At 42.1% G+C, this 26,428-nt stretch overlaps 1 long non-coding RNA gene and 1 pseudogene across 2 annotated transcripts, besides 2 other annotated features; one reads left to right on the plus strand and one right to left on the minus strand.

Annotated features, from left to right (window-relative positions):
* Window positions 1,196-17,107, plus strand: LOC105378414 (uncharacterized). Of its 2 annotated transcripts, none has more exons than XR_001747303.1 (2): window positions 1,196-1,413; window positions 16,924-17,107. It is a non-coding gene; the product is annotated as an uncharacterized LOC105378414 (long non-coding RNA). The 2 variants fall into 2 exon arrangements; XR_001747304.1 differs by lacking the exon at window positions 1,196-1,413 and adding an exon at window positions 1,631-1,742.
* Window positions 1,262-1,556: a silencer, noted in NCBI's record as "tiled region #1114; HepG2 Repressive non-DNase unmatched - State 22:ReprW, and K562 Repressive non-DNase unmatched - State 3:PromF". NCBI's record gives its function as "represses a minimal TATA promoter and a strong SV40 promoter by Sharpr-MPRA in HepG2 and K562 cells {active_cell/tissue: HepG2 | K562}" and the evidence as "EXISTENCE:reporter gene assay evidence [ECO:0000049][PMID:27701403]".
* Window positions 7,081-7,586, minus strand: MED6P1 (mediator complex subunit 6 pseudogene 1; annotated as a pseudogene).
* Window positions 21,352-21,411: an enhancer, noted in NCBI's record as "active region_3717". NCBI's record gives its function as "activates an Ori minimal core promoter by ATAC-STARR-seq in GM12878 lymphoblastoid cells {active_cell/tissue: GM12878}" and the evidence as "EXISTENCE:reporter gene assay evidence [ECO:0000049][PMID:35858748]".

Here is a 26,428-nt window from a genome sequence, read left to right on the forward strand (position 1 = left end):
CCTGGTTTTGGAGAGGTGGCGGATAGTCAATGGGCTGCATATTCCAACGTAAAAATAAGAAATGTCATTGTAGCCATGTAAGTCTCATTAAAGAGGATTATGGAAATGCTGACAATAATAAATTTGTAAGACACGTAAGAGTGTATAAAATACTGCCGCATCTTGTGCTAGTAGCCTAATTTCTGGATTACTGTTTTTCTGACATTTTACACAAGGCTTCATTTTACCTAGTTCAGTATTTAAGATTGAGATTTTTTTCCTAAATGTGTCATTTCTGATTCCATCGAAGGAGTAAGTTTAGAGAAACCTCATGGCTAATCATGCAACAGTAGCTTGCCGGAATAAAGGCCATGACGTTTTGGAATTTTAGAGGAGTGAGTCTTGAGACCAACTCTAGGATGGTGGTGAGAGGGAGGAGGGGTGGACAATGGGGCCATTTTCAAAATCATTACACTAGGTTAAGTTAGATTTTTCCTATAAAGCCTCCCTGAGGTGCCCTTGTGTTTTTTTATCTGGCAACTTTCTTGGATAGAAAATAAACAGAGGACTTTTGGCTCCTGTTCACCACTGTACCTACAGAAAGCAACGTTTTGGAACTTGCAAGCAGCTTATGTGTGCATGAGTGTGCGTGCAGGAATTTTCTGGAGAGGCATGAGGCACTACTTTAATTCCCATGGATGCTGTTTGTTCCCCAGAACGGAAAATGTTCTATTTTTGGCCACAAGACATTTCTGAGAAAAAAAAAAGTTAAACAAAGCATGGCGACAAGCTCGTTCGTGTCGTTGTCTGAGTTTCAAGAAGAGTTTGGTGCGTTTCAGGGAAGAACTTCTTCATGGAGGCAAGGGGTTGGAAGTGATAAGAGAAACTCTTTAACTTGGAATCCTGAGATAGGACTTGGGTTTCTGGGCAGAGGTTGCACAGGTGGGTGGGTCCTGGCTGTGAAGGCTGCAGCCTGGCCTTTGATTGGGGGTGGCAGGTTGACAGGTGCAGAAAAAAATTCTGTTGCACCTGAAAAAGGTAAACACTTGAAGATAGGTATTCTCTGCCTGGCTGCTTAGAATGAACTTATCTGGGGCTACAACCTAATATTTCCCCCAAAGCAAGAAAGCCCTGTTTGCATCCCTGCCTTAGCATTCCTGTTGGCCACAAGCCTTTGTGGGGAAGGACTTCTAGGGGCAGGTTTCCAGCAGCCTCTGATCTCCAGATAACTTGACCGGGCCAGTCACATAGTGAATGAAATCATTTTGGGCCCTTCCCCCATCAGACACTTTTCCAGGAAATAGCTTTTTGCTGCCATGACCTCTTTTGCTGCTGTTTGATATCCTTGATATGAAAAATGTGAATGGAGACGAGCACCCCATTAACCAGCAGCTCTTAGGCAGCATTGCTTGTTGGAGGTATCTTTTCACAGAGGTGAGCCGGCAGCGCCCTGGGCATTATGGGAGCATCCTGAAGGTACGGGGCCTCGTGCTGCAGCCATTGGAGTGGCTGGCAAGAGTGATCACAGAAACTGTAAAGCCCTAAGCCCCTGGAAATGGAGCGCCCTGCGGCTCTGATTAAGGCTTGTGGAGAGGGAGCTGTATAATTGGATACCCTGAAGCAAACCTCGAGCAGAATCCTGTAAGGCAGCTTGGGATTTTCTCTCCCCAATGTGCTGTTGAAACATCCGTGAATTCCAGTTGGTGGTTGTTTTCATCTGCTTCAAGCCTAGCCCTTGGGTACAGATGCAGCCGTGTTTCTGGGTAATGTTTCATTCTTGGTAGGAAGGGCTGTTTCCTTCTCATGAAGTGATTCGATATCTTTGGAGTTACGAAATGAAGTGCTGGTGAGACCTGTTGTTACTTGTTGTTCCTTAGGCAGAGCGTTTCTGAGGAGCCCTGTTCTTGAAAGCAGCACTGAATTGACGCCTTGCGAGCTTGGGAGTTTTCTTCTTGGTTAACAGTCTTTTGAAACATGTACTTGGGATTCAGGAACTTGCATTGCACGGGTTCAGAAATGTGTCTGTCCCGCATGACCTCCGTTACTTGGAAGCAGCTGGGTATCTTGTGCCTTTATCCTCATGTATTCAACAAATATGTATCAGGTGCCTACTATGTGCCAGGCACTAGGGCAATTACCAGGCAGTCTTGCTGATGGGGGAGACAGACCATACATAAATATCTTCCCATGCTGGAGAGTACTAAGAACAGAGCCAGAGAGAGAATAGTGGTAGATATATTTCTGGCAAGGGTGGGCAAGGATGTTCTTTCTGGGGTGTGTGTGTGAAATTTAAGGTAATATCAAAAGAAGCCAGTAATGTGAAGAAAGGGGGATGGGAATGAGACTTTCGGGTAGAAGAAACAGCAAGTGGGCAAAGGCCCTGAGGTGAGAGAGCTACACCTGCCTGAGGAGCCTAATAGCACCTGTGAAGCTGGAGCACAGAGGAAAGATGAGAAACCCCTGAGATGAGTTTGGAGAAGTAGCCATGGGGCTGGATCACATAGTGCCCTGTGGGCCAAGAAAGGAGTGTGAATGTTAACCTAAGAGTGTCGGAGGGCCTCTGGAGGGCTTGAAGCAGAGGCGTGACATGATCTTCCTACAGTTTGGAAAGAACAGTCGCTGCTGTGTGGAGACTGGATGGGGTTGGAGGCAAGAGTGGATGCTTTAGAAGGCTCTTCCCAATGTCCAGGCAGGAGCTGACAGTGGTTTAACCCTGGGCCAGAGGGGTGGGGTGGGATGGCAGCAGCTCCTTCCTATCTATGTTCATTCTGGTCTCCTTCCATGTATTGTCCTTCTCACCACTGTTTTCTGGGGGAAAAGCTGGCCTTCTTTTACAAGAGCTTCATGGTGGACTGCTACTTTATTTATTTATTTATTATGAAACAGAGTCTCGCTCTGTTGCCCAGGCTGGAGTGTAGTGGTGTAATCTCGGCTCAATGCAACCTCCGCCTTCCGGGTTCCAGCAATTCTCGTGCCTCAGCCTCTCGAGTAGCTGGAATTACAGGCACGCGCCATTATGCCAGGTTAATTTTTGTATTTTTAGTAGAGACAGGGTTTTGCCATGTTGGCCAGGCTGGTCTTGAACTCCTGACCTCATGTGATCTACCCACCTCGGCTTCCCAAAGTGCTGGGATTACAAGCATGAGCCACCATGCCCCACCAGGACTGGTACTTTAGACTCTTCCAAAGTTATTTAAGTAAATTGATCCATGTGATTATCTCAGTAATCCTGTGAGGGATACAGGGAGCTTAGGATATTGTCCTTCTGTGACAGATAAGCACGAGGGAGGTTCTGGAGGTTATAGAGAGTTCCTAGCAGAGCCAACTTCCTGCACACCCAGCCCAGGCCTCTCTGCTGCTCCATGGGACCTAACCTGTAGACTTTTGGTTTTGTACTGTCACTGTGGATTATGACTTTTATTTCTAAAAAAAAATTGTTAAAAAGGTAAAATCTGATTCAGGGAAATACAAAAGAAACACCCTTTTTTTTTTTTTTTTTTTTTTGAGCCAGAGCCTCTTTCTCTCACCTGGGCTGGAGTGCAATGGTGTGATCATGGCTCAATGTAGCCTCGACCTCCTGGGCTCCAGTGATCCTCCCATCTCAGCCTCCCAAGTAGCTAGGACTAAAAGCCTGTGCCACCAAAGATTTTATTTAATTCATTCATTAATGAGGGAACCAGTAAGATGGCATATCCTGTTCAAAGACTAAGAAGTGAGGATATTTATAGGCAATTTAATAAAAAAATTGTTAGGATAAGATTACTGGGTTAGATATAAACTGGTTAATGTCCAACAGGCCACAAATCTTTGAGGTTATATGTTCCAGCAGACAGAAATGATCAGTGTCTCTACTGGACAAAAATATACAAGATAATAGATAAATTCACTAAGTCAGAGACCTTAAGTCACTGGCAAGCAATGAAATGAACTAAGTATATTCTCCTGGGAAATTCTCTGGAGGACTTGGAAAGGTGTGCCACTCACCATTTTTGCCTTATTTCCAAGTTTTAGCTAATTTTTATGACCCCGTTACTCAGAGCAGCGATTCCCTTGGTATAATGCCTTTAAGATGATGTTTATGGAACACCTGGGGATTGAGGTCAAAAACCAATAAGGAATGGATACATTAAAATGCAACTCAAACTCCCCCAGAATGAGTTGGGACTCAGTCATTTATCAGACATCTATTGAGTCCTGCTCATGGGTATGCAGAGCCCTGTGCTAGGCTGTGGGAGCACAAAGCTTAATACAAAACAGTTCCTGCCCTATGGACCTCATAGTCTAGACAGGGAGGCAGACACGTAAACGGACACATTCCAATTCATCGTGATAAAAGCCAAGCAGAGATGTGGGGATTGTGTGGGCGCTGGGAAAGAGAGCGGTGCCCTCACCCTGAGAGATCCAGGGGCACTTCACAGAGAAGTTTTGGTTTGAGGGATGGGCAAAGGGTTGCCAAGTTGAGAAGGGGTGTCACAGGGAGGGCCATTTACGTGGGATGTCAATGACCACCCTGATAAATAGCATGGATGTGAGTAAAGAGATTTACATTTTTGGTATGGCAGATTTTAAAATTTATCCTCAATTCTCACAGCTAGTCTTAGAACGCTGAGGTTCTGGGGGGTGGGGAGGGAATGGGAGTGGAACAGGGAAGGAGAAGTTGGAGTCTCTTGGGCAAGCTTGCAAAATTTTCTTCAAATATTAGGTCAAATTCTCTATAAAAACCCTATTTAAAAGTTTTTGAAAGACTTTGAAGTCCCAAAGAAGCAGGAAGTTAATTAGAGTGGCTTTGATATCTTAGGGTATGTTTTAACAGCTGCTTAAGACAGTTTAAACAATAAGAACTTATGTGGTTTGGGATGCGTCTGTGATAGTCAGCCCCGGCCAGAGTGTAATATCATTGCATCTGAGAGTTAACAGCAGTTGGCTTTAATTTTAGAAAGAGTTCAAGCCAAAAAGTTCTCTAAAACCCAAGAGAGGAACTTCTAAAGAGGAAGATTGCTCTTGAAGAATGTGTTTGGGGGTCAAAGATGAATTGAGTAGGGAACAAATGATCTTAACTTTGTCCTCGCAGGAGCACAGAACATGCCCTTTTCTGAGCAATTCTCTTAAGTTGTGTTTAACCAGGGACATTTGTTGGCAGCCGCCATTTGCAAAGGGGTCCAAATGAGGTGAATTAACATCTGTAAGGAACACTTGAATAACACAAAGGGTGTCCAACCAATTTACATTTCCTGGGAATTGTCATTGTGCTTGAAGTAGTTTGTTTCCTTCCTCAATACCCTCAGCCTTCTTCAATATTTAAGACGTTTTTGACATACTGTTTCTTAGCCTCTTCCCCTGGTTGGATCTCCTCTATGCTGGAGAAGAACATGTTGAGAAATACTATGATGAACAGTAAGGATCTGCCTGGGGAACGGGATTTCAAGAGACGATGGGAAGGCTTGCTCTGGTGGCCCTATGTTGCTGCTGCTGCTAGGGTGCTGATGACGGCCATGATGATTGTGGTGGTGGTGGGTAGTTGATAGTGATGATAATGATGATAATGATGTTAGCTAACATTTGAGGCTAATATTTATATGATAGGCACTGTGCTGAGCATTTTATACTCATTCTCATGTGGTAGGTATATTTCCTCCATTTTACAGATGTGGAAACTGAGGTTCAGAGAGTGCCAGTGACTTGTCCATGCGTCCTTCCATCCATCTTATATTTGGCTTCCATTGAGTTTCCTACTTCTCCACAATTTACACAGTAGTATATTGCATCGTCTACCTTCATATGCAAAAATAGACTAAAAACATAAAAGTGGTTTGTAATAATACCACATGTTCTCACTTATACATAGGAACTGAACAGTGGATACTCATGAACATAAAGATGGCAGCAATAGGCACTGGGGACTGCTAGAGGAAGGAGGGCAGGGATTGAAACCTGTTGGGCACTATGCTCACTAACGGGGTGACAGGATCATTCATACCCCAACCTCAGCATCATGCAATGTACCCATGTAACAAACCTGTACATGTACCTTCTGAGTGAATCTAAAGTAAAAGTGGAAATTATGTTTTTATAAAAGTGGATGTAGAGAGGTACTTTTGGTAATGGGCCAACGACTGGCTGACAGATGACTATATTATTCCATTCAAGAGAGACAAATCTATTTTCCAAAAATACTTCCTTGGGAATGTCATGCCAGTCTTCCAAGGATTTCCCATTTTCCACAAAATAAACATGAAATTCTTCTGCCTGGACCATGCGTCCTGGCCACTCTGGTGGGATATGAGTCTGGGGCCTAATTGAGTCCTTGCTTGCTGCTGCAGTTGGAGAGTGTCTTGTGAAGGTTACTGTTTGTTTCTTTAAAAAGTGCCATCAGCACATCTTTTCTGAAGAAAAGCTTGGGTTTATTAATAAAATGAAATGAAAACTACACAAGACCACATTTTGGCAGCACACACACTCACGCTGAATGGACTGAGAAAAGATTGGCATGGGTCCTTCCTCAAAGGTAATGTGACTGTTTTTAAAAGTCTATCTTTGGTAGTAGCCATGTGAAGAACTTTAAAGTAGTTAGCTTTGTGAGTAGGGTGCATTTGTAAATGGGGAAATTCATAAAATGTCCATGCATAGACAATTCACTCCCACAATTAGTGAAGTTTTCTTGATAAAGTGTTGACCTCAAACTACTTCTCTACTTTTTTTTTTTTTTTTTTGCAATTCCTTCCTTCTTCCTTTCTTTTCTTTTCCTTTCCTTTCCTTTTTTTTCTTTCCCTTTCCCTTTCTCTTCCCCTTTCCTTTTCCTTTCTCTGTTCTTTTCTCTTTTTTTTCCCTCCTCTATAGACATTATAAGGTGAGTGAATGGGCTGCTCAAGTTCAGTGAGGGAAAGGGTATAAAAGATGCATAAGGAAAGTTTATATAGAAAACATAAAGGGAGTCATCCTTCTTAAAGGAGTAACATTTCCCATATAAAGGAGAGGGCTATGACTAGGTGTTCTCCAGCTCAATGTCTGCCATAAACCAGGGGCATGAGGTACAAAAATAAGGGAGGCTCTTAATTTGGCAACTTCTCTTTTGTCCTGTGCTTACTGGAGTTTTTGCCTATTTCTCAGGAAGCCTTCAGTGTTCATTGTGTGGGGGATGTTCTTTGAGGTCCCTGTCTCCTCTGATTTTACATAGTGTGGTAGGTTCTGATTCTTTCTTTGTCTGATTTACTGGGATAGGCTTTTCTCCTGACCTGTGACGCACAAATTTGGGTGGAAAATTTTGTCTAAAGTCTACACGTTACTCTGGAAAACAGAGCTTGGTTCTTCTTTCCTTTTGGCTTTAAATTTGGCTTTATCTTGCTTTTATTGGTCCTTGAAGTTCTAATAACCTATAGGTAGAAGATATTCATAGTATGACATCACTTCATCAAAAGCAGCCTGAATTCCATGCACTGTAGTAAGCCCTCTGTAATTCATAACCTATCCTATGTTTCTTGCTTGAGGGATTACATCAGCAATGACATGTTAGGAATCAGCTAGTGGGATGACTTGGGTAGGGACTGCTGCTGTTGCTTCAGAAAGCTAAAAGGAATGGGCTCTTGAGTGTGCAAATGGATGCATTTCATTACTACCATTTTATTTAAGAATTCTGGTGTTTCCAGATTTTCAACAGGTATTAATCTTTGAGGATGAGAAATCAAAACTCCCAGGAATTCTTAGGAATTCCTCAAATCCTAAGTTATTCTTAAAATATTTCAACATTCTTTGTGTTCATTTCTTATTATGATGGACATCTAAGAAAAATGTATTTAATAAGTTGGAAACATTAATTTTAGTAGTACATGTTGAGTATCCCTTATTTGAAATGCTTGGGACCAGAAGTGTTTTTTCAGATTTTGGAATATTTGCATTATACTTACTGGTTGAGCACCTCAAATCCAAAAATCTGAAAGCCAAAATGCTCCAGTGAGCATTTTCTTTGAGTGTCATGTAGGCTCTTAAGTAGTTTCAGATTTTGGAGCATTTCAGAGTTTGGATTTTTGGATTTGGGATGCTCATCCTGTAGTTACAAAGAACTTTAGCCTATAGTAAATATTCAAATGCTTGAAAATGCCAGCAAACATTATTGGGTAGCATTTGAAATTGAAATCACCAGTTTAAGGGCTTATTTTGTTGCCAAAAATTTTTATTCTTTGGAACACAACTTATAGGATTTTTATAAAGTATATATGCATATAAATTTATTAATATCACATTTTTTCCCCAAAATGACTCACCATTGTCAACAAACACAATCACAAACACATCCTTACAACATGGCCACAGCTGCAGGCAAGGTTGGTTAGGTTAGGGTGGCTTTCCTCCTATGTGTGCTGTACCAGTTCCTGGAAATGTCAACCTTAACCTTCAGCTGCAGGCTTTCATTTTGCTACGATGTTAGTGGAGTTCTTCAAACACGTGTCTTTGTATTGATTGTGAAGCTTTAATTCTTGCAGTAGAATTATAATACTTTTTCCTATTTTCCTGATTTCTTAATTAGCTTTTCTTGGGATTTTCGATTCTGAAAAACATATATTTCCAGATACATATTGGGAAATAATTCTCTCATGGAAACATTAAAATATTTAAGTTAGTTTCTATATTCCATCCATTTCAATATTACATGTCCGGTCTTGGATAGGATCACTCTTTCTGGGAGTAACTCAGGACACCACTGTTCAAAATGAGAGGACTCACTAAAGAAAGTTTCCACTAGCTGATCATGGACATCTACCACCACCATTATTCGATAGTGTTTGCAAGGTCTTCCTCCAGCAAAGAGCTACTTTAAAAATGTAAAAGTGGCCAGGCATGGTGGCTGATGCCTGTAATCCCAGCACTTTGGGAAACTGAGGCTGGTGGATCACAAGGTCAGGAGTTTGAGACCAGCCTGACCAACATGGTGAAAGCCTGCCTCTACTAAAAATACAAAAATTAGCCAGGCATGGTGGCACGTGCTTGTAATTCCAGCTATTCAGGAGGCTGAGGCAGGAGAATCGCTTGAACCCGGGAGGTGGAGGTTACAGTGAGCCGAAATTGGACCATTGCACTCCAGCCTGGGCAGCAGAGTGAGACTCTGTCTCCAAAAAAAAAAAAAAAAAAAAAAAAAAAAAAAAAAAAAAAAAAGGTAAAAGCTGGACCACAGCAGGCAGGGAAAATTCATACCTGGAATGGTTTGGAAGAAAATATTGATCTGAGAGCCCTCTGGGCCTTTGATGAAAATGGCTGCATTGGGCCATGTTGGTTACCTCATTTTATTATGGAGAACAGAATAACAGTAAGAGTATCAGATCACCTGAATTAAATTCCTGACACTAGTTGTGAGACACCGAGCAAGTGGCTTAACTTCTCTAGACCTCAGTTTTCTTGTCTGTATGGCCCTCATAGAGTGGGTGTGGGGATTAAGGCACGTGATAACTATGCACTAAGAAGAACCTGCTGTTTTCTTCTAGAAAATAACACATGGGATTACCGAGAGTGCATCTGACCAGCACTTGTTTTCATTATTCAGAGCTCTAAATGTTACTGGTGGTACTCACAGCTACATGGCATGCAGAGTCTGGCCATCTGACCTGGCACCATACATTCCTAAAAGGGTGTTGCCATGTTCAGGCTGAAGCCCTCAAACCAAATACAAACAATGGTGCCAGGAAAGGACCTTATGTTTGGTGACTTCTCGTCTTGACACATCACAGGACTGCTAGAGGCAGCTTTGGACTTAAGCGTTGTCCGGAACACATAGACGGAACAGACTGAATCGATGAATGGTGAGGCAGCCTTGAGACCAGCTGCAGGGCAGTGTGACCTCCCCTATGCCAGGGCAGCCTTTGAGGTGTTCTGCCCTTGTTCCTCTCCACATTTCCAGCTGTAAGTGCAGGTTTTGTAAAAGAAAGAGTCGAGAAGAGTTTGTCTTCAGAATCTATCTCAAAGAGATGGAGGACCTTTCAGTTACAGTCACATAATCTGAAGTCAGAGTCCCTTGGCTGGTTTGGTTCTCGGGTAGCCAGTAAAGAGTTTGCACTGGTTTATTGTAGGAAGGTTTAAATTAAGAGTACAAGTGCAAACTTTATTACACGTAGATTTAAAACTACTTTCTTCTCCTAATGGCTGTGTGATTTCGGATGAGTTCGTTATTATCTCTCAGGTTCTGTCTCCTTGGTTAAAAAAATGGGAATAACAATAGTACCAATCTCACAAAGTTATCTTGAGAGTTAAATAGAATCATATATGTAAAAAGCTCTCAATAGATTAGAGTTTCAGTTTTAGAAGGTATAAAGAGTTATGAAGAAGGGTGGTGGTGATGGTTATATAACATTATGAATATACTTAACACCATTCAACTGTTCACTTAAAAATGGCTAAAATGGTAAATTTTATGTTGTATGTATTTTACCACAATAACAAACTTGGAAGGAAAAAAGCTTTCAACAGAGATCCTAGAACACAGTGAACACTCAAAAAATATTAAGTATTTTTATTATTACAGTTGAGTCAAGGAGGTGTACCAATACTCCTCAGCATGCTTTAATGCGGCATCCTTTGGAACATCAAAAGTGATTTTCTCATAAAAATCTGGTAAAGAAGGGAATTAGGTGAGTTTAGTCATCCCTGGGGACTGAATTGTCTATCATCCATGCCTATATTTGCACAACCTGTTGTTCTTGGATGTGAACAGCATGGGGGTGGGTGGGTGAAAAGAAGGGAGAGATTGCTATGGGAGAGGGAGAGACCCCCTGTGTTAAGTGATTAGATATGGAAGAGGTAGGTCACAAGACTCCTGCCAACACCACTAGAGGTTGACGGCTGGGAAATCTTTAGCCTTTTCCTGTCAGTTGTTTAACTTATTCCAACCCATTTAACTTATTTGAATCCTGGCCTTGTTAAATCACAAGATTATTTTTAGAGGCTCTTGAGTAGTCTTTATGAATAAGGCTTTTAAATAGCACCCCAATCCACCACTCGTCATGCCTTGATGGCAGGAACAGTCTTTGCAAAGACCAGGTTTATCTAGTCTTTGCAAGGACCAGTGATAAGACTTCAGAAGATGCAAATATCACATTTCAGTGGGACCAGGCAGAAAATTATTCTTCAGTGTTGCTCTGATCAAAGACTGGCAAAGATGGATATTTAGGAAACAGCTCTGATTTTCTGATCCATCCTTATATTTCTGATTCATTAGTTATTAAAATGAAATTAAAAAGTATGAAGCCAGAAGCTTCCAGGGCCTCTTTCTCAGGCTACACCATGCACACTGCTGGGCTACTCCCACCCCACTTATAAAGCATGCACCATCAGCAGTCTCTGACTATACACAGTGCTCAGAATGTCTTCTCAGACCATATCCCTATTCCCCAAATGGAGGGATGGATTCCCAGCACCTATGCATACTGTGTGACTTCCCCACTTCCTGGAATGATTTCTGATTCAGTGCTTGTATGATAATAGTCAACAACATAGTAATAAAGTAGCTGTTTTCAGTGCCTTGTATGTGTTAGGCACTTACATCACTAGATATAATATAATGATATAATATATCACTAGATATAATATAATGATATAATATATCACTAGATTTAATATAGTGGTATACTATATCACTAGATATATTGTATTATTTCATTTAATCCTCAAAACTGGTTAAGTATCTCTAGCTTACAGATGAGGATATTGAGTTTTGGAGAAGACCAGTGATTTGCAATGAATGGAATTGGAATTTAAACCTAGATCTGTTTGACTCAAGGCCTTAGTCTTTAACTGCTCAACAGTGGGTAAGTGGACCTGGGCATAGCAGCAATCCCTCATTTTGGAGGATTGGAGCTACATATCAATGTATATGGCTTAGGAGTGTCTCTTCTTGACACCAGCCACGCCCTGCCATTTGACTCGGAGTACACGTCTCTCTCGGCTTTCTTCCTAAGACAGATGTTATCTCCATATTTTTGCCCCCAGGTGTGAACTACTGGCAGCTCTTGCCTTGAGCTTATGATATACACTTGTTGGCTGACATTTTAGTCTTGTGGTAATTAGCTAAGAACTTGACCCTGGAGTCAGATTCAAACTACAGCCCTTCTACTTGCTAGATCTGTGGCCCTGCAAAAGTTGTTTAATCTCTCTCAGTTTTCACATCTGTAAAATGGGAATAGTAGCAGCATGCAATTCGTGGGACTATTACGAAGACATGAGGTAAAGGCTTAGAATGGCAAATGGTTCATGGTAGCTGCTTAATACAATTATTCAAACTTGGGAGAGTTCACTGAATGTTACCTATAGCTAAAAACATGCTAAGAATTTGCATACTGTCCACTACAATCTTTAATTCCTTGACTTTGGTGTGATTCTTTTTTAATTTTTATTTTTTGAGACAGGGTCTCACTCTGTTGCCCAGGCTGGAGTGCAGTGGTGCGATCATGGCTTGCTGCAGCCCTGGCCTCTCAGACTAAGAGGTCCTCTCACCTCAGCCTCCCAAGTAGCTGGGATTACAGGAGCATGCCACCACACCTGGCTAATTTTTGAAGTTTTTTCTAGAGATGGGGTCTCCCTATATTGCCCAGGCTAGTCTTAAACTCCTGGGCTCAAGGGATCCTCCTACCTTGGCCTCCCAAAGTGCTAGGATTACAGGCATGAGCCACCATGCCTGGCCTGATTTGATTCTTTAGCAAATATTTATTGAGTGCTTATTACATGCTGCATACTGCACATATAGATGTCATGGATACAGAGAAGAATAAAGCCCCAATTGTCCCTGCTCTCAGGAAATGTGCTATGCCATGGGGTAGACAGTCCTGTTAGGACATACATTTAACTCAATGTGCTAAGAGTGCAGGGCTCATTAGGAGCCTGGAGGAGTGTACATGGATTAGCCTGGCTATTCAAGGAAGGAAGAGCAAAGAGTTAGCTACACGTGGAAAGATGGGAAAGGATTTCTATGCAAAGAGAACATATACTAAATATACAAAGGTGGGAAACGACCATGTGGTGAGAGGACCTATGAGTGGTTTCCTGATGTTGGAATATGCATTTTACACTAGGAAATGAGGCTGGAGACAAATGTGGGCGTGTGGAGCTTGGGTTTTATTCTGTAGGACATAGTGTGGGGGCACTAAAAGGATTTTAGTGGGGAAATTACAGTATAGAGTGAGGGTGTAAGGTGGTTGGAGGTCAAGACTGGAGCAGGGAGAGCAGGCAGGAGGCTTTTGACAGACAGAATGGCACAAACCGGAGCAGCCAAGGTGGGAATGAGCGAAAGGAATGAGTGGAGAAATATTTAGGAGGTGAGACTGCAGGACCCATAATTGATTGGATTTGCAGGAGCGGGAAGGAAAGGAGTCTTTGATGATTACCTTTTGCTGTTGTAAATCCTGAGTTAATGTACCCCTTCCCTGGGAGTTTTCATTTTAGAGGATGCTTCTTATTCTATATTTTCAGAAGGATCAGTTAGACAATTAGTTGCACAGGCTCCTAATGTTCAGTAGGGAAGCTACCTAAGGAGTTGGAGTCAGTTCTAAGCAGTCAACTTAAAAGGCAGTGGAGATACAGCATTTAGTGTCTCTGTGTCTCAGTTTTCTAATCTGTAAAGTCAATGCTCGCTCCATTGGATCCATGTGAGAACTAAATAAGACAAAGCTTTTATAATAGTATCTCCTGTAGAGCAAACCCTCAAAATAGTTGAGTTACAGTTAGTATTATGCTTTTTACTGTTATTCATTTTATAGCATAGCCTCATGAATCTGATTACCTAGGTTCAAACCCAAGCTCTGGGTGAAATGGAAAAAAGTTACCTAATGTCATTAAGCCTCAGTTTCTCATCTGTAAAATGGGGAAATAATAGACAATAATAAAAAAAAAAAGGGCCTATTGCATAGGCTTGTGTGTAGACGGGATGAAGGAATGCATACCAAACATGTAGCTCAGATCCTGGCTCACAGTAAGAAGTCGGGAAATGTAAGCTACGGCTCTATTCCTTGTTGTGTGCTAGGCACTTTTGTGTATGAGATACAATTTCATTTCCCCTGCATCCAATAGAGTGGGTTATATGATCCCCATTTTATAGATGAGGAGATTGAAGCATGGGGAGGTTAAGCAATTTGTTCAAGGTCCGCAGCCATAGATGATCTGGTATAAGTTATTCCATTTAGAATGACTTGATACTTTTAGAATCTTTAGGAAAGTTCCTGTAGGCCCATAGGAAAAGGAGTTTATAGTTACACCTAGTTCATGACTATATTAATTTATGTCAGAAGGGAATTAGAATCATCATCAAAAGTTAGAGTTGGAAGTAACTTTATTGAGTATTTGGAAAAATGAATTGCAACCTCATGTCTCCTGATGTGTAGTTTAAAACAAAACAAAGCAACAACAAACAACAACAACAACAACAATCCAACATACTACCAAATTTATGCCAAAACCCCAAATGGAAAACAGGTAATGTGGTTCTATGCTGGCTGGAGGACAGGCAGGACAGTTTGAGCCCTTTCCCCCACCTGTTCTAAAAGGGTGTCACAAAGCCCCAAGGCACACTTTAAAAATCACAAATCAGAAAAATCCGTGTTTGACTAATGAGGAAACTGAGGGTAGAGGCAGAAAGTGACTTTCCAATGTCACACACCAGGGACTCATTGGAGTCAAGGTTAGCAATTCATCTCTTTTGGTTGGCCCAGCTGTACAGTCACTGGTGTTGCCACCCCTTCCATGTGCTATGCAGACTGTTGAGGAAGGATGCTCCCTTTTGGACAAAAGCCTGTATTAATGTTCACAGTACTAATACTTAATTTATTTTTTTATTTTTTTTGTGCTTTTTAAATTTTCTATAATAAATATGTATTGCTTCTATAATCAGAAGAGATAACTTTTGGTTTTTAATTAATTAATTTTTTTTAAGAGATAGAGTCTTGCTCTGTCCTCCAGGCTGGAGTGTAGTTGTGTAATCATAGCTCACTGCATCCTCCAACTCCTGGGCTCAAGCAATCCTCCCACCTTAGTCTGCCAAGTAGCTAGGACTACAGGTGCGCACCACCATGCCCAGCTAATATTTTATTTTATTTTATTTTGTAGGGATGGGGTCTCCCTGTGTTGCCCAGACTGATCTCTAACTCCTGGCCTCAAGTGATCATCCTGCCTCAGTCTCCCAAAGTGCAGGGATTACAGGTGTAAGCCACTGTGCCCAGCCAGAAAAGATATTTTAAAAAATACTAAATTGATGAAGAGATGATTTGTATGCCTGGCATGGGGAATCCCAAGTTTTTGGACTTTTCTCATCTCTTGTGATTTCTCTGAGTGCTTGTTGTGATGATTTTGGGTTGGGTCTGGAGGCTGCTCCAGAGAGATATTATGTTGTTCTGTGATGGCGTGTTTGCTCTCTATTTGTTTATTTTTGATACTGCCCAAAGTAAGGCCCAGCATTAGAGACCTCCTCTCAACTGTCCCTAATCTTCCCCTCTAGTATCATCTCTTAAGACTCTAGTTAAAAATGGCTAATTGACTGTCAACCACACCAAGTCAATTGGTGCCAATTGCTGCCTTTCAGTTTTTACCCATATAGTTCCACCTGTCTAAGAATGCCTTTTCCCCCCAATCTCTGCTATTGAAGTACTGATACTGCCTTTCAAAGGCCCATTGCACACCCATTTCACTCATTCACTGATTTATTAATCTATCAACAAATATTTATTAAGGGCCTCCATCTGCCAGGCACTGACTGTTCTATGCCCTTGGATTAGAATGGTGAACAGAATAGACATGGTCTCTTTAATTACACAGGTAAATCTTCAGTGAGAGCCTGATAGTAAGCAAGTAAACATATGGAGTTCATACATCCATCTATCCATCCAATTTCAAAATGTGGTAAGTGCAATGAAAGAGGATAACGAGTGGCCCTATTTCAGGATGGGTGGTCAAAGAAGGCCTCTCGGGAGAAGTGCCCTTTGAGCTGACACTTGAAGAATATAAGGGAAGGACTGTGGGAATGAAGAGGGAAGAGCTTTTTAGGCAGAGGTCCTCAGCTAGAAGAGTTGGAAGAACTGAAGCAAGCCCAGCGAGGCTGGAGCAGAGTGGATGACTAATGACCACTCAAGTGCTAAATGTTTCACTGATGCATTTTGTATATTATTTGTCTCCCTCTGCTAGAGTGCAAAATTCAGGAAGGAAGGTATTTTTGTCTGATTTCTTTACTACTTTATCCTCAGTGTCTAAAACAGTGCTTTGAACATAGTAGGCACTCAGTAAATATGTTCGAGTGAATGAATGCATGAATAAATAAATAAGAGTGTGATGGAAGAAAACTGGAGAAGTAGGCAGGGATGACATCATACAGGGCCTGTGGGTTATGATAAATGCTTGGATTTTATTTTCATGAAGTGGCAAATAACGGGAATTTTAACGGAAGAATTACATGACCTAAGATAGCCTTTAAATATGTCCCCACCTGACTTTTAGGTGGAAAAAGGGTTGGAGGTTGGCAGTTGAAGAAGCAAGTTAAAAGTCTATTGCAGTAACTTGGCAGGAGGCATCATGGTACTGTTGGCAGTGTGGATGGAGAGGAAGAGATGAATTCATGATGGTTTTTGGAGGACAGACAATAGCAGGATTTGCTGATGGATTTTGTGGTTGACATTGTAGATTGATTTCCTAATATCCATTCTCCCTTTCTTTCCTATTAATATAATGTTATAGAATATAAATAATGTAACATTTATAATGTAAGTGTGGTTTGGGGGTGACAATGTACCTAACTAAAAAGAAAATTCTGTATTTTCCAGCTTCTCTTGCAACTAAGGGTAGTCATGTGATATAGTTCAGACCAATGAGATGTAAGAGGGAAATGCTGCATAGGGGATTCTGGAAAAGCTCTTTAAAAGGAAGTGGATTTAACTGCCAAATAAATTTTTCCCTTTGTTCTTCCTCTTCTTCTTGCTTGAATTGCAGATGCCATTTGGAGTAGCTACTTTGAGGACAAGAGACAAAAAGCCTGAGGAGAAAGTCACCATGAAGGAAACAGAAAGATTAAACAGCATGCGTGATCTTTGATTCAGAGTCCCCATCTCACCCTGGACTGCCTTCCTTTGGAATTCCCTTGTGGAAAAAAAAATTAAACTCTTATTTGGTTAAATAATTGTAAGTTAAATTTAGTTTATGTATCACCAAACTTATTTCTAACTGATTCAGATTGGATGTGGGAGAAGCAAGATAGGATAATTCTATTTTTTCCCCCTTCCCTCAAACAACTGTTTAAATGGAAGACTGGGTGAGGAACAGATTTTAAATGGAGGTTGTGTATGTCAGTATGTATATGTTTGTGTCTCTGTGTGTGTGTGTGTGTGTGTGTGTGTGAGAGAGAGAGAGAGAGAGAGACAGAGAGAGAGAGAGAGAGAGAGAGAGAGAAGATGAAATCCAAGACTTCCATTTTGGATAGTTAAAGCTTGAGATATCTGTTAGATATCCACATTGCAATGTTAACCAAACAGTTGGTTTTGTGACCTTGTCTTTCAAAGAAGAGTCTGGAATAAAGATAGAAATCTGGCAGTTGTCAGCATAGAGATGGTATTTAAAGTCATATAAATGGCTGAGATTTCCCAGAGCAGGAGAGTATGTAGATGGAAGAGCAAAAGGCCCATGGCTAAACCCTGAAAGTGTCAGCATTTAGAGGTGAGGAGAGGAAGAGTTGCTGTAGAAGAAGAAGGAATAGCCTGTGGGGATCACCAGGAGGGCAAAGTTACGTCAAGACAGTGGGTTTCCTGGGCCCACCTCGTTTTTGTGTGGCACACTCACGCAAATGGACACTTTTTACACCTTGCACTGGATATTAGTTCTCTTCTTGTGTGTGGGCTGCTTTCCCTCTTGTTGAGATTTCAGGTCTCCAGGGACTGGGGTCATGTCTGTCCTTTGTAGTTCCCCAAACCAGGCACAGCACTTCACCTTGAGGTGATGCTTGCTAATGCTTGGCAATGGTAATCTGTGCCCGCTGGGGGCAGGGAGAAAAAAGGGGGTGTTTAGAAACAGAAAGCTAGTTTGGAAAATGAAAAAATTGGAAAGTATGCTCAATCCTAGGTTGAAAGTCTCCTTGAGCAGCAGAATGAGATACATTATCTGACTAGAGAGAAGGCTTTTTAAGAATTTTGAGAGCATAGGTTGACTATAGGTCATAGGGCCTAGGAAAAATCGGAAAGATGAAAGAAGAGATGGTGCAGAATCCAAGAATTTCATTGTGTCAGGGTTCAGGTGGAGAGAGTAGCTTTCACCAGAAACACTAAGGGCTTATATTAGAAGTTGAGCAGGAAAGGACGGCGTGTTCCCAGGGCTGGGATGAGCTCATGATGGCTGCTGGGGTGAAATAAAGAGGAAGGAACAATAAAACCAAGACTACATGCTGACCCACAGTTATGGCATAGGCTTATTCTCGAGATTTCCTACAGTGGTCTTTGGCACAAAGTGCTGATGTCCTATTATGGAGGCCTAGGTTGTGGGAGGGAAGTGAAGCCCTGGGCTAGAAGGCCAAACTCCAAATCCTTCATTTATTCACACATTCATTCATATTTGGTATGCAATTACTATAAGCAAGTCCTGAGGATACGGTGGTGTAAAAGGCAAAACATATACCTGATTTCATGGAACTCACATTCTAGGGGTGGTTTGTGTATATATGAGAACAGTAACTAGAAAAAAATAATGAACAAGGTATTTTATGTAACGATAAGAGCTATGAAGAAAATCAGACATGACGATTTTCAGCTAGAGCTACCCAAAGCATGATCTTTGAGTCAACAACAACATATGAGCAATCAGTTTGTTAAAAATGCAGAATCTCAGAAGACGGCCTAGACCTACTGATTCAGAATCATCATTGTAACAGGATCCCCTTGTCATTTCTTTGCATGCTAATGTTTGAGAAGCACTGAGCTAGACAGTGGGAAATGGAAGGTTTCTCTGCCTAGGTGACATCTGAGCTGAGACTTGAATGAAGAAAAGCTGTCCATGTAAAGATCTGGGAGCAGAAGGATCCAGGCAGAGGAAATGGAAAGTACAAGGGGCTGGATGAGAGAACAAGCTTGGCTTGTTCGCAAAACAGAGAGACCCGTGTCTTCATCATGGAGCACCTCTTCTCCTCTCTCCTTACCTGGTTAGTCCTCACCCAGCTGTCAGACCTCAGCCTAGACCTCACTTCCTCTGGGAGCCTTCCCCGACCCTCAAACACCCTTCCTGTCCAGCCCCACCCACCCAATTCTAGTCCAGCATGAGAGTGGTCTGGCTGTTTTCCTCCCCAGCATGCCTGTGATCTTAGTACTGAATAGGTGGTATGTAATTTTGTTTAATGACAATTCAAATGAAAGTGAGAAATCTAGAAAGACGGAAGAGGCAGGCTATAGAAGCAGTTCATACCACATCTTTGTTTATGGGCAACGTTGGTAACTCTTGAAACCTTGTAGCCATAGCCTGGGCAGAAGCACCCCAGCCTCCTCTCTGTGGAGTCTTCGCACACTCCCTTTCTTTTGACCCTCATTGCTCTGAGATCTGTGGTCAGACACTCTGTAAATATTTCCTTTCAAGCAAGGATTCAGGGTGCAGCAGAGCTTATGGGCTGCTAGAAAGGCCATGCTATTGAATAAGCTACAATGCAATATGCTGGATGCAATCAGGTAGTGGAGAACAAGTAACTGTTGGAGCTCAGAGAAGGGCTGGGCACCAAATTCTGGAGAGATTTAGGAGGTTCCACTGGAGCTGGCTCTTAAGAGAGGAAGAAGAATTTTTTAAGTTCAAGGGGGTGGTGGCAAGGTGGCAGTAATTGGTGGTGAGGGTGATGGAGGGCAGTGATGGTGGTGGTGGTGGTGATGCTGGCTTTGAATGACGTGGGTGGCGATGATGGGAGATGGTGATGGTGGTGGTGATGACAGTGATGGTGGAAGTGGGTGGGAGTGGTGAAAAGGGTGATGGCATCAGTGGCCAGGTTGCTGTGGTGATGGTAGCAGTCATGGTAATCATGGTGATGGTGAAGTGTATTCTAGACGGAGGTCGCAGCATGCCCACGAACGTAAAGTCATGAAAGATCTCTTTAAGTCTAAAAACATGGTAGGGTGGCCACAGATGGACAGGTTGGAGCCAGATGTAAAGGCCTTGTGGGCCAAGACGAACTCATTTTCATTAAAGTTGAAGTAGGTAATGAGCTTGAAGAGAACTGGCTGCACTGTGAGGGAGGAAGTGATGTTTCCTGTTATAATTACCTTTCTCGTTTTATTTATTTTTAAGATAGAGTCTCACTCTGTTGCCCAGGCTGGAGTGCAATGGCGAGATCTCAGCTCACCGCAACCTCTGCCTCCCGGATTCAAGCTATTCTCCTGCCTCAGCCTCCTGAGTAGCTGGGACTACAGGTGTGTGCCACCACGCCCGACTAGCTTTGGTAGAGACGGGGTTTCACCATGTTGGCCAGGCTGATCTCGAACTCCTGACTTCAGGTGATCTGCCCACCTTGACCTCCCAAAGTGCTGGGATTACAGGTGTGAACCACCATGCCCGGCCCCTTTCTCGTTTTATAATTGTCCAGTGGGACACCAATAGGGAAGGGTCAAAGGAATGTATGGAATATACACAAATCTACTTCTCCTTAAATCCAGCATCCTAGAAACTGGAAGAATTTCCCCTTTGGGGCAAAGTAATATTGAAATTATTCAAGAAAGATATTTAGTTATCTCCTTTGTGTGTTTTCATCTACTCAGTCATTCATTAATTTCTTTACTCATTCAAAATGTTTTTATTGAATACTTGCAAAGTTCAATGCACAGGGTATGATGGCCAAAAAAACAAATAAATGACATATTCAGCCCTCAAGGAGATTACAATCTAGTGGAAATACAGGGATAGGACTGGGCAGAGTGCACAGCATTGAGAGAGTCCTGTGTGCTGAGCCTGACTTTGCAGACCAGGGCAGCTCATTAACTTCTTCATTTGTCACTTTCTTCCTGAGTCTTTATTGTGTTCATGCTGTGTTAAAGAATAAGAAGATAAGCAAAATAGTTCTTGCCCTAAGAAGCAAGACGTCTACAGTCTAAGGAGGAAATGTCTCCCGACCTCTTTACTCCTCATCTATATTATTTATATATTTGTGTATAGGGGGAGGTTGACCAGAAGATTTTTAAGGTCCTTTACAAATTTAATATTTTATGACAAGGAGATTCAAGATTTGTAGAGAGCACCTTCATTTTATATATAAACCCAAGTTAAAGTCTATATTTTATGCTAACTTTGCTAGATGCTCTAAAAGTACAGACCTCCCCTCCCCATCCCCCACCTCCTCACACAGAGTAAGTTATTTTGAATCCTTGTAAAATCTTATGGTGGATTTATGTGGGGTTGGTAGTCAGTTTTCAAACCTAGGTGCAGGGCGCATGGGCATCCGAGGGAATTTCAGGATCCTGAAGGACGTGGTTTGGGACGTAGTCACGTAATGAAAGAGCTGGTTGTTCTGTGTTCATGCTAGGGAATGTGGTTTGAGTGGCTGTGGGAACTTCAACTTTGTGACTTTCTGTGTAACTGAAATCTCAACCCCCAAGTGTGTCGCAGTGACTTCTCTGACACAGCACATGTAACTCAGCTCTCTCCTGATGTCTGTTTTTCTTGCTCTCAGGAGAAGAAATGGCCTAAACAATCTTCATTGGCCAGCAGTTGAAAAAATATTTGTTTTGGTTTTGTTGAGCACTTTCCCTGTTGAAACATGAACATTTTGAGGGGAGGGGAGATCCCCATTGTGTACGTTTGATTCATTTATCCTTAGCAAATCAATTGTTTCAAGTAGAGCCTTTATGTCCAAGAAGGCTATAGAAAGCTTTACTGCCCTTTTCCTTTCAAACAGGAAGTTGCATTTGGCCAAAAGTAAACAAATGTGAACCCGGGAAGGTTTGTTTAGTGTCTAATGCTGACTTCAGGACCTGAGAATGGAGTCTGTGCTTGGCAAAAATGCCTTCTCTGGGATCTGTCTGGGCCAAAATATTCTCTGCTTATGACCTGGCCTTTGTGCTCTGGTAAACATCCTCCTCTTACCAGCCCCCAGAAATTCACTGCCAAAGGCCACAGGCAGTTTTGCTTGCTTATCAGAAATATTCTAAAGGTGATGGCAACTTGGAAACATACTTTCAGCAGGACTTAGCTTTCTGGAGAGTGGCCACTGTGAAAATGGCCTGTAGCTTGGAAATCTCAGGGGGTGTGAATGTAATTTGACATTCTTTGTGCACAGGCATGGGCTAGCCCCTCTGGGTGAAGAAGCTTTCAGGAAAGTGACTGTTACTACTCAGCTAACAATGTAGTGCTGAGCACTTTGCAGGACCGAGCTCACGAAAGTCTCACACAAGTCCTAGGAGGAAGGTGCTATTATTATCTCCAGTATACAGATGAGAGAACTAAGGCTTGAGAAGGCCATGAAACTTGGCCCAAGCTCACACAACTAGTCAAGTGTCAGAGCCCTCAGCTCTCTCTGCCTTCTGATTTAGAGATTTTAATTAGTGCAAGTTCAATATCTAAACTCTAGGAAGTTGCTAAGTATTTGGGGTAGAACCACATGATTCAGGTGATGATCAGTGTATGACACTTTACTATGACAGGCCAAAGAATTGAGTAAGTAGCATTTAAAGTTTTTACTGAATGGGATTAATGTCTTGTTCCAGGAAGGATTGAAGGCAGCTGATATAAACTGGGCAATATGTGAGTAGGTAGAGATGGTGAGCTCCAGAGGAATTTGGGATGATTCTCAGAGGAGGGACTCTGGTTGGGCCTTGAAGGATGAGTGGGAATTAGGTAAGTAAAGAACATTTCAGATTTGGGGAATCAGAATCAACTCTCTTTTAGGAGGCTTGCATTTGAAGCTACTCCATGAAAATGTTCTAAGTACACACAGTGACCTTTCTTGGGCTATGCTCCTACACTTGCTGAGCTCTTATATTCTTGAGAGATGTTTTATCAGCCTAAGCATGCAAAGAAACATGTGACCTGTGAAGTAATCCTTCACCAAGAGCACGTGCCAAAGCTGGTCAATATTGGGCCAGAAATTCTCCCCATCCCACCCCACCCTGCCCTGTCATTAACCAATTCTCCCCACATCCTAGTGTCACTAGTCTTTTCATGGTTCTGAAAACATGTTATTGCTTAAGTGCATTTCTCTACCATACTTTACAGACATTATCACTAGTCCTCACAACTGCTCTAATAAGGTAAATGACATTAGGCCCATTTTACAGTGGAGGAAACTGAGACTGAGAGGTGTTAAGAACTTTGCCCAAGTCATACAACTTCTTGGTGGTGGAAGCAACTAATTCATGGAAGAAACAGATCTGATGCCAAAGCCCGTGTTCTCTCTACTCTACCACATACTCTCCTTAGAACCGAATGAAGACTCCCCAGGCAGTTTTTGCTAGTATTCTGGATTTGTTTAAAAATCCTCGTAAGATGTTAACAACTTTAAGTCCTGTGGTGGTATGGGGGACCTGAACACCTGGGTGCATTTTCTTTTATTTACTCTAACAGGGACACAGACCTCTGGCTTCTTTCATAGAAACCCCCCTTTTTGAAATGTCTCTGTTTTGTTCATTCAGGAGAACAGATCAGCATCTCTCATGCAAGGCCTGGCTCTGTGCCCATCTCACTTTTGCAATGAATTTAGCAACATCTGCTTTGCCCATTAAAGTGATTTTTCTCTTCCTGGCCCTGAGCCTGTATGCTTGCTGCAATTGATTACTAGCAATTTCCTTCCCAAACCAGAGAGTTCAGTGAACTCTAAATTGAATTGTTGCTCACTGGTCTCCTTTGGACCAATTGCATATGGCTTACGTGCAAAATGGTCAAGCCACTCAGTTCCCGAATCTATAGGCTGATGATTCTGGTTAAACGTGGGAGAGGACCTGATGAGTGACATTTCCCATTTTTGCACACAGTGGCCTAGGACTGTGGTCACTTCTGTGTTTCTCAATTTCAGGTGGGGGGAGGGGATGAAGCCACCTTGCTTACAGCAAGGCTGTTGAAGTACACACCCTCTTTCCTTTCAGTCATATTGCAGCACCAATGGCCTCAGATGTAGTTGCCTGGAAACCTTGTTTCAGAGACATCTGAGAAACATATATCTAGCTCCAGAAGTGGCTTAGAAAGACCTCAGGAAGATGCATATCACTGTACTCTTTTGAAGGCAGCAGTGGGTCCCTTTAAGTGGTTCAGGCAGCTTTTTAAGATAAAGCAACGCCCAAAGTGATGCTGAGCCTGTATACCTGGCCTGCTGCTCCATCTTGATTGGCGGATATCTAGTTATCCTTTGAGATGTAGTCTGAGTGTTACCTCTCAGGGAGTCTGCCCATGTCTCACTCAGCCCTGTATTCCCAATATCTAGCACAGTGAGTACATGTAGTGCACCCTCAGTGAAAGGACAAATGAGTGAAGGATGCTGCTCTTCTCGTGAGAAGATTTTAAACTGGTACTTTGCTCTGAGCTGTCCTTGAAGTGTCTCTCCTTCCCCACAGCCATGATAGCTTTACACAGGGACAGTGAGGAGTTGTTGGTTATTTAGAGAAGTGAAAGTCAGGAGTCTCCTCTGCCACATAGTCCTAAAAAAAAAAAACAACAAAAAACCCAAAACAAAGGAACTTATTACTGACCAAATTACTTCCATATATCAGGGAGGTTAATTTAAAGCTAGGAATCTATAAATAAGAAAAAGGTAGCATAAATGACTAACATCAAATAGTATTGACAATTGCTGGAAATCATTTGAGTCATTGCACATTCTGTCTCTTTGAGCAGACATTCCCCGTTTCCACCACAATTGCTGACTGCATACCTACCAGTATCAGCAGCCACTTCTGAAATGATTATCGCAGACGAGACTGCAAATATCCTATTCTTGCAGAACTCTGTCACAAACATCTTTAGCATCGAGCTTGGGGCTTTCTGCCTTTATTTCTGGAAGAGATCTCATTTATAGTATTACTATAGTGGAAAAAGATGAGAAAAAGCAGAGTATTCCGAAAAGCATGGCTCAGCTTGAAACTATGCGATCCATACCTCTTAACCAATGGGAGCTGCAACTCCAAAGTGTTTAGGGAGTCCTAGGGTTTTTAGCTTCTAGAAAGGCCTTAGGTCTTTATTTCTTCATTTAATCCCTGCACATTGGCAGGTGGCCCCTGTAGACCTACAGAGGAAATGGGCTAGTGAACTTCAAGGGAAACTTAGCTGGGCTTCATATGGCGATATGAAGTTAGGGAAAAGACATTCAGCATTTTTTTTCTAGCTTTGAGAACCTAACAGGAAAAAGGCTGGGGAAATATTCCAATTGTCTACTCTTGGACTTTACTATCCGTTTATCAGATGCAATTAAACTGGGTATCTTTCCTTTCTCCAGTCCCTGGCAGTAGAGAGGAAAGACCTCAGCCCCCCATGTAATGAAAGGAGATGGTCTGTGCTTAGTCATGCTGTTTCAGTTCTGCTGCCTGTCACCCTGGTAGCTGGGATTAAAATACATCCTTCCCCTTTCCAGAGTTTCTTGCTCAAACTGAACAGGACTTTTCCAAGAGAAATGGATCACTCTAAGGTTCAACTCCTCAGGCCCAGGCTCCGTCCAAAATTCCAGGTTGAACAAATCATTAAGGATAGGTATATGTTACAATCTACCCAGCGCTAACTAAACCTCCTCCACCATCAGATCGCCACCACTGCCATCAAAATGGCAGTTCACATAAAATTAATGCTGATCATGTGCCAGACGCTGCATAAGCACTTAACATATGCGATTTCATATGTGATCATCAGACAGCTCCATAAGGTAGGTTTTATAATCACTTTATACAAATAGAGAAACTGAAGGTCTTAAAATTTAATTTTTTTTTTTTAGGCAACAAGTGTTCATTGAGAGTGTGGGGCATGGTGCGAAATTCTGGGGACAGCACAGTCCCCCTGGGCTCTCAGTGAAAGCACATTGAAACTCGTGTGCTGCAACAGGTTACAGAGGAAGTCTTTGAGCGCTTCATGTGTAGCGGGTTTAATTCTTCTTTTTTCTTGATTTTCACACGCCCCTGCACTTCCTGCTCTTTCCTGGGCCTGGAAGCGGAAGTACTGAAATACTGAGACAAACTGTTCTTATGGTTTTTAGAGGTTGGTCAAAACCAGGAAGGACAAGACATCAGAAGGCTGGTTCTCTCTGGGTTTTCTCTGAGTAGGGGATAAGAGCTGGGTCTTGGGTCCCTTGACCATGTTTTTATTCTTCCTTTGAATTGGTTGGGCTCGGCAAAGTCAGTCAAGAACTTGATCTTAGCTGCAGCTGCATTGTTCAATGACAGGCTGATTATTGTGTTTTCAACTTCATTTTTCATCGATAACTGAAAGGATATGTCTTTAGTGGAAGGTGATGCTCATATTGATTTTGTGACTTCAGATTGGTATATGCACTGATTTATTTATCCAACAAATA

This window comes from Homo sapiens, chromosome 10 (genome assembly GCF_000001405.40).
Source record: "Homo sapiens chromosome 10, GRCh38.p14 Primary Assembly".
NCBI classification, from domain to species: domain Eukaryota; kingdom Metazoa; phylum Chordata; class Mammalia; order Primates; family Hominidae; genus Homo; species Homo sapiens.